This window comes from Homo sapiens, chromosome 13 (assembly GCF_000001405.40).
Source record: "Homo sapiens chromosome 13, GRCh38.p14 Primary Assembly".
NCBI classification, from domain to species: Eukaryota; Metazoa; Chordata; class Mammalia; order Primates; family Hominidae; genus Homo; species Homo sapiens.
In genome coordinates, this window is record NC_000013.11 from 24,486,654 (window position 1) to 24,502,345 (window position 15,692).

Consider the following 15,692-nt stretch of genomic DNA (forward strand, 5'->3'; position numbering starts at 1 on the left):
AAAGAATGCAACTTCTGGCTGGGCGCAATGGCTCAGGCCTGTAATCCCAGCACTCTGGGAGGCCAAGGCAGTTAGATCACTGGAGCCCAGAAGTTTGAGACCAGCCTGGGCAACATGGTGAAACCCCGTCTCTCCTAAAAATACAAAAATTAGCAGGGCATGGTGGTGCACACCTGTAGTCTCAGCTACTCAGGAGGCTGAGGCAGGAGAATCACTTGAACCCGGGGCGGGGGGTGGTGTAGAGGTTGCAATGAGCCGAGATCGCGCCACTGCACTCCAGACTGGGCGACAGAACGAGACTCTGTCTCAAAGAAAAGAAAGTTATCGGCCGGGCATGGTGGCTCACCCCTGTAACCCCAGCACTTTGGGAGGCTGTGGTGGGCGGATCATGAGGTCAGGAGATCAAGACCATCCTAGCCAACATGGTGAAACCTCGTCCCTACTAAAAATACAAAAATTAGCAGGGCATGGTGGTGCACACCTGTAGTCCCAGCTACTCAGGAGGCTGAGGCAGGAGAATCGCTTGAAGCCGGGAGGCAGAGGTTGCAGTGAGCCAAGATCACGCCATTGCACTCCAGCCTGGCCACAGAGCAAGGCTCCGTCAAAAAAAAAAAAAAAAAAGTGATCAAATACCTTAAGTGCTGTTTAGGAAACCAAGCAGGTTTGGAGAGAGGGTTGTCAAGAAAGTACTCTCTTGGGAGGTGACATTTATTGGAATGTGGCACCATAAAATGTCTATTTTAAGACCTCACTGGTTGTGATGGGTTGGATGGGGCAGGAGTAGAGGGGAGCATCTGGAAGGACACTGTAGACAGGATAACAGGATCTGGATTAAAGATGGCGGCAGAGTGAATGGAAGTAGCCAACAGATGAAGGACACTTTGAAGGCAGAATTGACAGAACATGGTTATGTGGGGATGAGGGACAGAGAGACCCCACACTGGCTCTGAGTGGGTAGCTAAGATGGGGCAGTTGTTGGGGGAGACGGGGGTACGGCTGAGGGCAGCTGTGGTGGGAGGAAGGGCACATCTTCCCAACCCCATGTCCAGTGGCCTCAGGTCAGCACCTTGACATTAGCTGTGGTGGGAGTATTTGCTTCCCAGAACTCAGCAAATATTCCAGACCAGGACTTTTCCTTCACAGAGCTGGCTTACCAGCACACCCCCGGGTGAGCAGCATCGGGGTGATTCAGGCTGGGTTATGTTCTACACCCAAATGTTAACAGTGGTTATATTATCTCAGGGTTGTCTTTGGGTGGTGAGATTTTGAGTGATTTTTAATTTTCTTCATATTTTTAGATATTTTCTAAGCTTTTAGAAAAGAACATGAGTTTTATAACTAGAAAAAAGTAATATAAAGAAATCATGATTAGTGAAATGAAGGAAATCTAACTTTTCACAGCAGCAGGATCTTTCCCTAGGAAGAAGCCCACTTTAGCTGTGTGACTGCTTTTGTACTTAGGGGGTGGGGCGGCTCGCCAAGGGCTTGCTCAGGTAGCCCTGGAGGGCTGAACTGCAGCTGCCACTCCCGGGGCTTGACGTGGCTCTTCCTGTCTTCCTGGAGAAAGCTTATTGCCCTCCTGATTCTACCTTCCATGTCACCGGACTCTTAGTACAGATCTCAGCGGACACCTAGGGGAGGGTCAAAAGTCAAACCAAAAGAATTTGATTACATATAAAAACAAAATCTGGAGAAGGCCTGTGGGAATGAATGTTTTTGAGACAGAGTCCTGTTCTGTCTCCCAGGCTGGAGTGCAGTGGTGCAATCCTGGCTCACTGCAACCTCCACCTCCCGGGTTCAAGCGATTCTTGTGCCTCAGCCCCTGGAGTAACTGGAACCACAAACGTGTGCCACCATGCCCGGCTAATTTTTGTATTTTTAGTTGAGACAGGGTTTCACCATGTTGCCCAGGCTGGTCTCAAACTCCTGACCTCAAGTGATCTGCCCACCTCGGCCTCCCAAAGTGCTGGAATTACAGGCATGAGCCACCATGCCCGGCCCGGACTTTTTAAAAATTAAAGTGAAATTCCAAAAAGATAAAATTAACCATTAAGTGTACAATTTGGTAGTATTTAGTACAGAACATTCAAAATGTCATGTAATCACCACCTCTAGTTCCAAAATTTTTATTTGCCCAAAAGAAAACCCCGTACCTTTTGGCTGTCAGTCCCCAACCCTCCCTCTAATGGCACCACACAATTTGCTGTCTCCGTGGATTTATCTATTCTAGATATTTCATATAAACAGAATCGTACAATATGTGGCTTCTTTCACTCAGCGTAATATTTTTGAGGTTCACCCATTTGTAGTATGTGTCAGTGCTTCATTACTTTTTCATGGCCGAATAATATTCTATTACATATATTTATCACGTTTTGTTTATCCACTTCCCTGTTGATGAACATTTGGGTTATTTAACCACCTTTTGGCTGTTGTGAATAGTGTTGCTATGAATATTCATGTACAAGTACCTATTTGAGTACTTGCTTTCAATTCCTTTGAGTATAGAACTAGGAGTGGAATTGCTGGGTCTTATCGTAATCAAGTTTAATTTGTTGAGGAATCATCTAACGCAGGCTGCATCATTTTTCCCTCCCATCAGCAATGTGTGATGCTTTCAGTCTCTCTATATCCTCACCAACACTTATAATTTTCCATTAAAAAGAAATCATATGGCTGGGCGTGGTGGCTCATGCCTGTAATCCCAGCACTTTGGGAGGCCGAGGCTGGCAGATCACAAGGTCAGGAGATCAAGACCATCCTGGCTAAAGCAGTGAAACCCCGTCTCTACTAAAAATACAAAAATTAGCCAGGCGTGGTGGCGTGCGTCTATAGTCCCAGCTGAGGGGGGTGGCTGAGGCAGGAGAATGGCGTGAACCTGGGAGGCAGAGCTTGCAGTGAGCCGAGATCGCGTCACTGCACTCCAGCCTGGGCGACAGAGCGAGACTCCGTCTCAAAAAAATAAAAAATAAAATAAAAAAACAAAAGAAATCATAGCCATCTTAGTAAATGTGAAGTGGTTTTGGGAATGGATTTTGAGAATGATAAAGGAAAGTAGAACATAATTTTAGATGGGTCTGAGTCAGGCCATAAGGTAAGAGTGGCTGGGTGTGGTTTTAGTGGGGCTCTGGAAAACCAGCTCTCTAAACAACAGCAGCAACGCCCCCGCACAGCCCTGATTTGCAGCATTTGCTGATTTCCATGGCGCAAATCCTCCCCGTGTCCAATTTCAAGCTACCCATGGTTTAACAACCAGCTCACCAAATCTCTTAAATGTTGACAACTGGCTCTCATAAGCTGGTGTGTGCGGCTACAACTCACCACCATTTGTTCTAAGGGCTGTGCCAAGCTGACGAAGAGGAACTGCTGCAATGGAATGAACCACCAGGTCAAAAGAGTCAGTCCCATGCTTGAGAACAAGCATGCAATGGGGTTTCCAAACTGAGAAGCTGGGCACAGACTCAGCCACGGTGACCCTCAGGGGTGCTGACACCCAGCAAGGGCTCATCTGAGCAGGTGGTCCATCATGTTTGTTGTTACTGGAGAATGCCCCTCAGCGCAGGACCCTGGGTATGCACAGTGAATGAGGGCCCAAGTGTAACTGGTATTTAGGAACGTGTTTTCCAGGTTTTCAGGGGCAGTTTTTCATGCCACAGAGAGGCCACGTTAGAGACGCCATACCCATATTCCTGCACATTTAAATCAGTTTAAGTGGCTTTTTCTCTGTAATAACCTACAAAATACAAACTCAAACACGTTTTAAAATTTTTAAATTTAACCCTCAACAAGATTAGGTAACCTTGAAATCGGAGTGGAATATAGAGGGTGTTTTCAAGCACAGAAAACTGCCCCAGGCACCGTTCTGAACAGAGAAGAAAGTAATGTGTCATCACACCACCGCTACTGTGGCTTGTTGCTGAAGATTATCTAGGTAATTACTGTAATTAGCTCTTTAACGGAGTCTCAAAGAGCATTATATTATAACAGATCCTGAGATATTTCCTTTATGCTTACCTGTGATGATTCTGCAAAACCTCTTTTCTAACCCTGAGAAATTCTTCAGTATTCTGTTCAACATGCTCAATTTTGCACCTCAAAGCTCGGTATTTGGCCAGGGATGGTGGGTTGGGTTTGGACAAATTAGTTTCACAGACATTAACCATGTCTCTTATTAGCTGTAGGTGGAAATAATACACAGATGTCAGAATCACCACATATCAAAATTAATATTTATATCACATTAACACTTTCTCAAAAAGATAGGAAAAGTCCATTTTCCCCCAAAGCTTGTTTTACTTTATTTATTTTTGAGATGGGTCTTGCTCTCACCCACGCTGGAGTGTAGTGGCATGACCATAGCTCATTGCAGCCTCAACCTCCTGAGTTCAATAGATCCTCCTACCTTAGCCTCCAGAATTGTATTTGAATGGGCACTATACGTTCCCTCTTAGCAACACTCATGACTGACATTTTTTTTTTTTTTTTAGATGGAGTTTTGCTCTTGTTGACCAGGCTGGAGTGCAGTGGCATGATCTTGACTCACTGCAATCTCTGCCTCCTGGGTTCAAGCGATTCTCCTGCCTCAGCCTCCTAAGTAACTGGGATTACAGGTGCATGCCACCATGCCTAGCTAACTTCTTGTATTTTTAATAGAGATGGGGTTTCACCATGTTGGCCAGGCTGGTCTCAAACTCCTGACTGGTGATCCATCTGCCTTGGCCTCCCAAAGTGCTGGGCTTACAGGCGTGAGCCACCACACCCGACTGACAGACTCTTTATGTTTGATGTTAGGTAAATCATAGAATTTTAAATTTGGAAGGGTCTTATATTTTCTCATTGACCAGTTCTTTCCTTATTTTGGATTACTGATTCCTCTGGGAATCTGTTGAAAGCGATTATTTCCCAAACATGCAAAATTTCACATCTATAAACTCCTCTGAAGTCTAGGACACAAATCTCTGATCTTGGCCAAATCCCTGCATGCACAGATGAGGGAACACGGACCAAGAGAGTGACTTCAGCCTAGTCTAAGGCAGGGTTGGCTGCTGTGGCTGCCTTCCTCTACTCACTAAGCCTGCTTCTCTCCTGGCAGCTCAGAGGAGATGGCCCATTTCTGAGCAGCCACAGTGGCTCCAATCTCCTCACCAGTGACTGGTTTGAGATTGTGCACATGACTTCATTCTGACCAGAGAAATATGAGTCTGCCAGGGGCTTCCTCTATGTGACACAAAAAGAACTATTACAGATGGGATGCCATGAACTACTGCAGCCATCTGCAGATCACGAGGAAGCCAGGCTAAGAGCAGAGCCGTCACTCTACAGGAAGTACAGAGGGACGGAAGGAGGCTGGGACCCTGATAACACTGACACACTGAGTCTCGGGGTGACCTGGGCCAGCAGGCAGCCCACAGCTGGACTTCTTATTGTCTGAGAACGTAAATGTCCTTATCGTTTAAGTCAGCTGCAGTTTCCCCTTTCTCCTGCAGAGGATCCGAACTCATTCCAGAGTCTGAAAAGTTATTTTACAAGATAGCAATTTTAAACCTATTTCTGCACTTATGTCACTGTGCCAACATATTCACATTTGAAAATATGGTTTAACTTTCATAAGGATCCAGGGCTTTCTAAAATGGTTCAACAATTTATTTTCTAGTACAACTCTGGAGACAATTTCATGATTCAGTGTTACCTCATTCATCAGATTTCTAAAGACCCCCACCCTCAACATATTTTATAATAAATAGAATTCTATATTTCAGAGGTTTACCTGGCAGAGGTCTGCTTTCTTAGCCAATAGTCCCAGGTTCACTTCTTTGGGCATTGTGCCTTTGTGAGGTATCAGTCTGTAAAACTCTGTCATCATCTTTTGCAATTGCTCTGCTGTTTCTCCATTTTTCAGTGCTGCCTTTACTAGAAGGAGAATCCCCTCTGCCTTGCTCACCTTTCAACAGATCATATATGCTTATTACAATGAAATCTCAATACAGAAATTAAGGAGCATGCACAAAACTATATAAATAATTGTTAGACATGTCAAGACTATCCATTTTCTACTGGAGAGCCTTCACAAAGCAAATGCTGATCTTTATTGGAGACGTATCTCAGTTGTGGCAAAGATGCCATGAGGATTGTTGCAAAACTAGGCTCAGTTTTACTAGAAGAAAGAACCAGAGTCTTATATTTCTATACATATGTGGACACATCTACATACCTATACACAGAGAGAGAAACACTAATGCAACTGTGATAGACTTGCTTTTCACATGAGAAATTTAGAAAGCTGTCAGAATCAGACCAGGGATAAAAACCTCCTGAATGTGTTTCTAATTACACAAGTACTTCATGGGCTTTATCCCAGTTAGCCATTTTCTCCTTGAGATAAATTAGTTTAATTCCACAGAGGAAAATTGACCATATTATTTCAATACAACAATGCAGTTGCACAAGTTGTACCATTGGGGTATCTTCTTTTGTCTGCTCTTTTCATTGCAATTATGCTTAATCAAGAAGGGAAGAACATTTTCTGGTGGTCTGGAGGCATGCCTGCCTTTCCTAAGACAGAAGGTGCAAGACTGTGGAGTCACTAGGAAATGGACTGCGGTTAAGGCATCTGACTGGGGACCAAGACCACCCATAACCCTCCAGCTTCCTGCAAGCCTCTTGGCACAGAGGATCAGGCCTCCTAATTGGCCAGCACCAGAAGCCTGCCTTCGATCAGCTCTTGAGGCTGACATTTTACAGACAGGGATGTCTAGTTTTCTCAGAAGCTTTTCTCCTTAGTGCTGTTAGTGGTCTCTTTCTTCAGTACCGGTACAAGGAAAGAACATTTAGGAATGAATTCCAGAGCAGTCAGGCCAGCATGCAAACACACGTGTTATTGCTGAAGCCAATCAACCAGGAGGCAGATTTTTCACATTCTGTTTCAGCGACACACCAACTTACATCGTTGAGGCTAATCCTGTTCACTGGCTTGAGAAGCATGTGTTCCAGGTGGCCCAGGGCCTCTGCCCAAATCATCTCTACTAAATCGCTCACCTCTTGGCTCAGAGTGCTTGAATTCATGACTTCCTCCAAAAGCAACTACAATAATAAAATAGAAATGCCACCAAAAAGTCATCATGTGTGAGTTTGTGTAAAACTTACATGGGCCAACGAACAGAGGTGTGAGGAGAAATAATTGATTAGAGCCCAGGAGAGTCATCCCCAGCCAGGTAACTAAATCCTTTCTCTACTAGATCCTCCCTCTGTCTTCCTCCATTCTCTCTTCTCTGATTCCCTCCTACCCGCTTTTCTTCCTGTTCTATTTTTTTCCTTCACCCTGTAAGCTCTAGGCCTGTCAGTAGTAGTCAACACACGAAGTCAGGATTAAGGACCCTTGACTCATGGCCTAGGTTGTAAAGACATCTCCCAAAAGCTGGGAGGGTCTGCTGCTGAAATAAGCAATACATCTCCTGTCTTGTTCTAAAACACATTCCCCACTCAACTTCCATGCCTTTCTATGAGTTCAGATTTCCTTTTCTGAACTCCTCCTCTTCCCTCCTGACATTTATTTATTTACTTGAGACAGGGTCTTGCTGTATTGCCCAGGTTGGGGTGCAGTGGCATGATCATAGCTCACTGTAACCTCGAACTGCTGAATTCAAGTGGTCCTCCTGCCTCAGCCTCATGAGTAGCTAAGACTACAGGTACACCACCATTCCTGGGTAATGTTTTTCAGTTTACGTAGAAATGGGTCTCTCTATGTTGCCAAGGCTGGTCTTGAACTCCTGGCCTCAAGTGATCCTCCTGCCTTGGCCTCCCAAACTGCTGGGATACAGGCATGAGCCACGAAGCCTGGCCCAGTCTTTTATTTGTAATAGAGAAAACATTTCTATTAAAAATATTCAATCAACAACAAAAAAATTATAAATCAATCTCACTGCTTGCAATTGTTCAGATGCTAATTGGGTTGCTTCAGGTGTGAAATGTTCTCTTAGTAGAAATCCTTGTTTCTTCAGTTCTTCAATGTAATTTTCAAAGTATTCACTTGCATCTTCAGAGGTTTTCTTTATAGCAAACTGTCTTCTAGTCTGTGAATTATGGTGTATAGCAAAAGTACAGTCATTATTTACATATCTAGCTTTATTGAACATAAATAAAGCAGTAGGTCCTTGACATGAAGAAGCTTAGAAATTAGTTTTTTTCAAAGAATTACTTAAATTTTAAATTCTTTTTCTTTTCTTTTTCTTTTTTTTTTGAGACAGGGTCTTGCTCTGTCGCCCAGACTGGAGTGCAGTAGCACAATCTCAACTCACTGCAACCTCCACCTCCTGGGTTCAAGCGATTCTTCTGCCTCAGCCTCCTGAGTAGCTGGGACCACAGGCATGTGCCACCACACCTGGCTAATTTTTTTTGTATTTTTTTGGTAGAGATGGGGTTTCAACCATGTTGGCTTGAATAACTCTTGACCTCAAGAAATCCACCCACCTCGGCCTCCCAAAGGGCTAGGATTACAGGCGTAAGCCACCATGCCTGGCCAGAATTACCAAAATTTTAAACTCTTAATAGCCTAAAACCTGGAGGTAGAGGGGAAAAAGCTTGAGAATGCACAGCAGACAGAAAAGATCATTTGTTTCACTGGAGAGTTACTCAAAGCTTCCTTCCAAGTCTACAGACTCCTTACAAACCAGTCTAACTAGCTTGTAAATCTGGTTTTCCAGCTTTTTGGAAATGAGAAAAAAAAAATCTGGAGGGGAAGGGGAAGAAAAGAAAAATACTTCAGAAAGGAAGAACTGTTAGAGACGGGCACACAGCGAAAATGAAATCACAGCCAGTAGACAGGCAGGAAAGTTATTAGGTCATGCACATGTTAAAGGCTCCAGCTCCTCCCTCATCCCAAACTGCCTGTGGAGGCGGCACTTTCTGCTCTTCTGGGCAACTCCTGCCTCTGTAGTAGGCAGTGATCCTAACATTAACCCCAGGAAAATCTGGAAGAACCTGCCCCAGCTCAAAGCCATGGTGTCCTTGTAGGTGTTGGTTGAGCCCCTGGCTTGGGGGTGTGGACCCCTGGGAAGCCACACTACTCAGGATACCCATAAGCCGCCCTCCCAGATAGGGGGGCCGCAGGATGCCTCTGAAACTTGGAAAATAGGAGTGCCTGTTGAAGTCACTCCATTTAAGACGGTAGAGTTTAACATAATTTTGGAAGATTCCCATCAAAATGGTTTTATTAAGCAGAAGGGCAGGCTGGAAAATCCTCTTCAGCAGAACGGTGGACTGAGGCTCACTGCTATCAAGGTGGACAGGCTTCTCTGCTCAGCAAACCAGGCTCACCCAGGGGTGCTCTACACAGACTCGGGCTCGCTAAGGGAGGAAGGCACCCTGAGGGATGTCCTGGCCTACACGATGCTACGGTTTTCTTTCTCAATGAAGAAAACAACGACACATTCTATCATCTCTACAGACTCGGGCTTGCTAAGGGAGGAAGGCACCCTGAGGGATGTCCTGGCCTAAACGATGCTATGGTTTTCTTTCTCAATGAAGAAAACAATAACACATTCTATCATGTTTTTCACCTTCATTTTTACTTACTTCTTACCCAAACAACTATATCCTCCACAAAATCCAGTATGCATTTCAGGGTACAAGGGTAACAAAACCCTTTCTCCTTCTTGGACACATTTGACCATGGATTAGCTTTCTAGCTCTGTTCCCATGGAAATCTGATAAAGATGGCATGTCAGCTGTAATAGTAGGCAAAATTGCTTATGTAATTGTGGCCTCTCATTGATAAATTGCATTGATACTGGGGGCTCAATGGTGGGAAACCCAAGCTTTGGGCTTGTCAGAGAGCAGTGACTCATATAATTGGGTATGTCCCTTGAGGGCATCTGGAACCCGAGACAATGCTACAAGAGCTATGGGCTCTTGTGGGGTAGGGCTTCCAAGCCAAGTGGATCTCACATCCACCTGACGTGAGTCTCTTTCTCTTGTACCTGAGCTGACACTCAGAGTGGGAACAAAGGGAAAAGCTCCTGGAGCCTGTGTGGGCCTCTGTGAGGGCCACTCTCACGGAGAAGTGACTGTTTCCTGGCCCAAGACAGAGCTGTAGGCAGGACGCAGTGGCTCATGCCTGTAATCCCAGCACTTTGGGAGGCCAAGGCAAGCAGATCATGAGGTCAGGAGTTCGAGACCAGCCTGGCCAACATGGTGAAACCCCGTCTCTACTAAAAATACAAAAATTAGCCAGGCGTGGCAGCGCATGCCTGTAATCCCAGCTACTCAGGAGGCTGAGGCACAAGAATCGCTTGAACCTGGGAGGCAGAGGTTGCAGTGAGCCGAGATCGCACCACTGCACTCCAGCATGGGCAACAGAGTGAGACTCTGTCTCGGGGAAAAAGAAGAAAAAAAAAGATAGATCTGTAACTCTGAATGTCTACTTGAGAAGGCATCCTGGTGGGTGTTGCAGCATTTTATTTGAACTTCAGGCATTAATTCTAAATTTATTTTTGTTTCATGATTGTTTTAGATTGGAACTGTGCTCTTGACCTGATACTGACCTAGGGCAAAGGTATGGCCTCTGCAAAGCCTCCTTTGTTGTTCCCAGGGCTCTGTGACCTTGAGCCCTCAATACCCCATATATATATTCAGGATTGGAAATGTCACAGTGGATTGTAATGATGAGTGTTATTTCTTTCTAGACAGTGATCTCTGACGCCAGGGTGTGAAGCTATTTTTATCTTTGAGTGTCAGCCCTAGTCGATTGCTTGGTACACAGCAGGTGCTTAATGAAGTATATCAGTGGAATGCTTTCAGAGGTGTAAATATTAGGAAAATATCCCAAAAGTGATGTGGAACAAGGGCAGAAATGCTATACACCCTGCACCCAGTAAACATTCCCTTCTAGCGGGACCCTGTGCTGATCTACTCAGGGGGTGAGGTCCTCACCTCCCACACTCCAAAAGAGAACACATTTCCCCTTTGCAAAATTATTTACCAGGTGTTATGGCTGAACTGTACCCCTACAAAATGCATATGCTGAAGTCCTAACTCCCAGGACCTCAACAACGGGATTGTGTTTGGAGACAGAGCCTTTCAAGAGGTAATTGATTAATTAAGTGAGATCATAAGGGTGGGCCCTGATCCAATATGACTGCTATCCTCATGTGTAGAGATGAGGACACAGATGCCCACAGGTGGAAGACCATGTGAGGACACAGCAAGAAGGCAGCTGTCTGTAAGCCAAAGAGAGAGGCCTCACTTCAGAAGAAATCAACCCTGCTGTACTTTGACCTTGGACTTCCAGCTTTTTGCACTGTGAGAAATAAATGTTGTTTAAGCTCCCTAGCCTGTTGCATTTATTAATAGCAGCCTGAGCTAAGACAACAGGTAAGAAGAAAAAGGTTGGGAGGTCGGCTGATTCATTGAAATGAGTTATGAACAGAGGTCAGTAAACACATAGGAATCAATATAAACAGCATTACCTCCATGCCATCATCCAGGAGGAAGTGTGAGGATATCAGGAAAGGACAGTCCCTGGAGTCCCGCGAACACTGAAGCTCCACCACCACAGCTTCCTGGCCTCCCTCCATTCCCACCTGGAAAACAGGATGTGCTTTCAGAAGCTGCACTCGGGAAACATCAAACTACATGTGCCATTTGAAAATGTTGATTATAATTATAAAATATGTTCATTTAGAGATATAATTTAGAAAATATAGAAAAGTATCAAGAAGAAAATTAAAATCTCCTAAAATCCCGAGAGCAATACGATCACTATTAATATTTTGGTATGTTTCCCTCCTGTATTTTTACCATCCCATAAATAGATCTGTGTGTTTATACCATACCACTTTTCATGTTTTCCTTATCAAAGAGGGAAATGTTATTTTCAAGTTACATTTTATTAACATATCTCAAAATACAAATGGAACATCACTTTGAAGGCTAGTGTCGATTTATATCTATATATATATTTTAGAGACAGGTCTTGCCACATTGCCCAGGGTGGCCTCAAACTCCTGAGCTCAAGAGATCCACCTGCCTTAGCCCCCTAAGTAGCTGGGACTATAGGCAAGTGATGCCACATCAGACACTAGTGTTGATTTTCATTTGTGGGGAAAAAAAAAAAGGATTTTGTTTTTCTTTCTAATGCAAAAGGAATGGAAACGCAACATAGTGTAAATACTTAGTGTCAAACCTTCCTTTTCCAAATACAAGAAACTGTTAGTAACAGGGAAGAGCACTTTTATGTTTAATGCCATATTGATATTTTATACTGTTTAAAATTTTTGCTATGAGCATGCATTACTTTTATAATATAAACACTAAAAATTTAAACTTTAAATTCTAAACATAAACATTTTCTTGACTGTTAAAAATCAGGTCTGGGTGCAGTGGCTCATGCTTGTAATCCCAGCACTTTGGGAGGCTAAGGAGGGAGGATGGCTTGAGCCCAGGAGTTCGAGACCAGCAAAATAGTGAGATTCTGTCTCCACAAAAATAAATATATAAATAAAATTAACTCATATTTTAAGGACTATATGATATTCAGGATATGCATAATTTTTCAAAACAATGAGAAAATGACCGAATAGGAAAAACACCCAGAAGACATTCAAACAGGTGTGTTTTTTTTTTTTTTTGCTAACTAGAAATCAGATTCTTACTTTCTCCAAGGTGTTATATTTTGCAACTTCAAAATCTTGAGGAAGATGAGGAATTTCAACATTCTGCATACCAAACCTGAAATTTGTAGTGTATAATTAAAATTTTAACATTAAATGGATTTTAGGCTAAACAGAATTTCATAAATTTTTTCTTGTACATCTTTACAAAATACATGATAGATTCCTTACAAAACACATGGTAAGTCCACATGGTAAGTCCCTAAGGCCTCCTTAGCTCTTCCAGAAATTGTTAAAAGATCATTGGAAATGAGCTGGATGCCTCCTCTGCATAATCTCCAGCTCAGATACCCAGCACTGTAGCGTCTGCACTGGAAGATGGTCTCCACGCGGCAGAGGCAGAAAGAAGTGGGCCGCACACTCTGGGGATGGGCTACTTGTGTTTGCTTTGGATCTGACTCTTAGAAGCTATGTCACTCCTCTCCAGACCACAGTCCATTCCTCTCTAAAATAAAGGAGTCAGACTTCTCATAATCTGTACTTTTCATTTTGGATTTTCTTCTCTTTAAACACTATTATTAACAAATACAACAAGATTGAATGTGATGCCTAATTAACCCGATGTTTTGGGTATGCTTTAAGAAACCATATAGAACTTTAGACTCCCATACTCCATTTGAGGAAGGCTGTTGTTATTTCCATTTTTGAAAACATCAGGCAAAAGTAACAAACTGTCTTTACTCTAAAGGCTGCTCAGGAAAATAATAGGATGAAAATAGGTTTTTTTTTAAAAGAATTAAAAAAAAAACCCACTGGTTTTCTTTTTAAAAATCAATTCAATAATTGCACCCAATCTCATTTAATACTGAGAATTTAAAATAATGATCACTATACTAGTTGAAGAAAAAGACTCAAATAAAAAATCACTTGAGTTAGATATGCAAAATAAATTAAAATAAGAAAAAGTCTACAAATAGAATTTTAATACTGTGCTTGAGGTTTACACAAGATTTTACAAACTCTGTAGAGTCCCAGGAATCAGAAAGAAGTAAATTACTCAGTGAGTTCCACAGTGTCTTCCTCCTCTGTGGCACTGTCCGGGCATAGACCTTCTGTTTTCACTTCTAGAATTAAAAGCAAACAGCACACTTGTTTACTGCCCAAAGACTTACTATAATTAGTTAACCTAAGTGCTGGAATTGTTAAGATTCATAAATATATCCTTAAATTAGTTATAATTTTGGTGATCAAAGGATAACCCAGTGGGAAAAGAGGAAGGTATAACCTTATAAAATAGGGAGAACATACTCTAATTCTATTTTAATAAGCATATCAGGAGGATTCTCATCTGTTATTATTTGAAACTCATTGATAGCCATACAATTTTCAATTGGCACTTTCTTCTTGAAGAGTACAAAGTGCACAGGATCAGAATGAGTTCCTGAGAGTCGGCACATCACGAGCGAAGGAGCTGGAGATGTTCTAGCTTAGAGGAGGGAAAGTCAAGGGCTCTGCATGAGCTTTTGCTTCATACTTTCTGTACAGAGAAACAGTAACACTATCTAGAGCATTGTGATATACAGGAATAACTCAATGTGAGGACTTCTTTCCAGTTTTAATTATACTGTCAAGATTCCAAGGATCATCAGTGTATTTGTAGTAATTTGGAATCTGAATAAATTATGCTGGCTGTCATACAGTATGTTTTCAATGTGAAATGAGTCTACTATTTTATTTCTGTTGTAACTATCATTTGCTGGGACATGTGCTGGGACTGCAGCAGCATTTCTGGACTATTGTCTAAGGAGGCTCCACCCTGCCAAGTCAGTACGGTATCTAACACATACCGTGTGCTTACTGTGAGTTAGTATTTATCAGAACTGTGTGATTTTTGATATGACTCAGGAAGAGTGCATTTTTCATGTCCAAAGGCTTTCTTCTTGGCCAGTTTCCAAAATAAAATCTTGGCTTATAAAGAAAATATGTTTCTTTTGGGGAGACAATCTTTTGTTTGGAAAGAATTTCTTCAGCAAAATGCTGGTCATCAAATTTCCAGTCATTAGGTTGTAGTAATCACTGTTTAACACAAAGGCTTTCCCCTCCCCCTAGTTAAAAGCACAATCAGGTTTTCTGAGATGATCAGTGTTTTGTGGCCATTTTGAGTCTGACCCTACTAGGCTAGATATCAAGAAATCTGTTTCTAGTGCTAAAGTAGTCTTTTGTCCTTTGTTATTTTTCTGTCCATTTTCTGAGGTAATAAGTCTAATTTTTTTTTAGTATTTCTGGACAATTCTCTGCCTATGGTATCTTTGACAAACCCAAGCGTGTACTATGGCACCTATGATACGTTAAATGCTTGCTATGAAATACCTACCAGAACTGCTCGCCTTCTGATCAGGAGGTGGTGTGATGTCCAGGGGCTTATAAGGATCATAATTCTTTACATCCAAGAGTCTCTTTTCCCTGATAGATTTCCATATAAAATCTGGGTTTGCAATATGAACGTGGTTCTTTTGGATAGAATTCAGTTGGTACTGACTCAGAACATCAGCATTATCTAAGATTATATGTGTGCACTAAGGAAAAAAAGAGTCAATCCATTATGCATCAAGAAAAACAACATTTAAATAAGATATTTGTATCTGTAATTTTCACCCTTAGAAAGTATTAAGGTAGTTTGTGATAATCTTTCTCAAATTTCGAAAAACCTCTATAAATATCACAGTTTCTAGTTACATAAACATTTTAAAAATCAACTGTTTTTAAAGGATATGGCTACGAATGCACCATAATTGATTAACCCTAGAGGTTATTTCTAAATTTTCATTATTGTAAACAACGCTGTGATGACTATCCTCATGTACACATCCTTGTGCACTTGTTCAATTATTTTCTTAGTAGTGGAAAGGGAGGTTCAAAGGTTATTATTTATTTTGATTTGTAATTTTAGAAAATCTTGTTTTTTTTGTAGAGATAGGGTCTTGCTATGTTGACCAGGCTGGTCTTGAACTCTCAGCCTCAAGTGATTCTCCCATCTCAGCTGAGTTTACAGGCATGAGCCAACATGCCCGCTTATAATTTTATTTA

The 15,692-nt window shown here is 42.3% G+C and overlaps 1 protein-coding gene across 1 annotated transcript in view; it reads right to left on the reverse strand.

Annotated features, from left to right (window-relative positions):
* Positions 1–15,692, reverse strand: part of PARP4 (poly(ADP-ribose) polymerase family member 4) — a 91,848-nt gene that overhangs the window by 65,723 nt on the left and 10,433 nt on the right. The window contains exons 3-10 of the mRNA NM_006437.4: positions 14,980–15,181; positions 13,663–13,729; positions 12,648–12,723; positions 11,463–11,576; positions 7,920–8,069; positions 6,943–7,080; positions 5,768–5,941; positions 4,015–4,175 (exon numbers count right to left, since the gene is read on the reverse strand). Coding sequence (NP_006428.2) covers positions 4,015–4,175; positions 5,768–5,941; positions 6,943–7,080; positions 7,920–8,069; positions 11,463–11,576; positions 12,648–12,723; positions 13,663–13,729; positions 14,980–15,181 — 1,082 coding nt within the window. The remainder of the gene's footprint in view (positions 1–4,014; positions 4,176–5,767; positions 5,942–6,942; positions 7,081–7,919; positions 8,070–11,462; positions 11,577–12,647; positions 12,724–13,662; positions 13,730–14,979; positions 15,182–15,692) is intronic.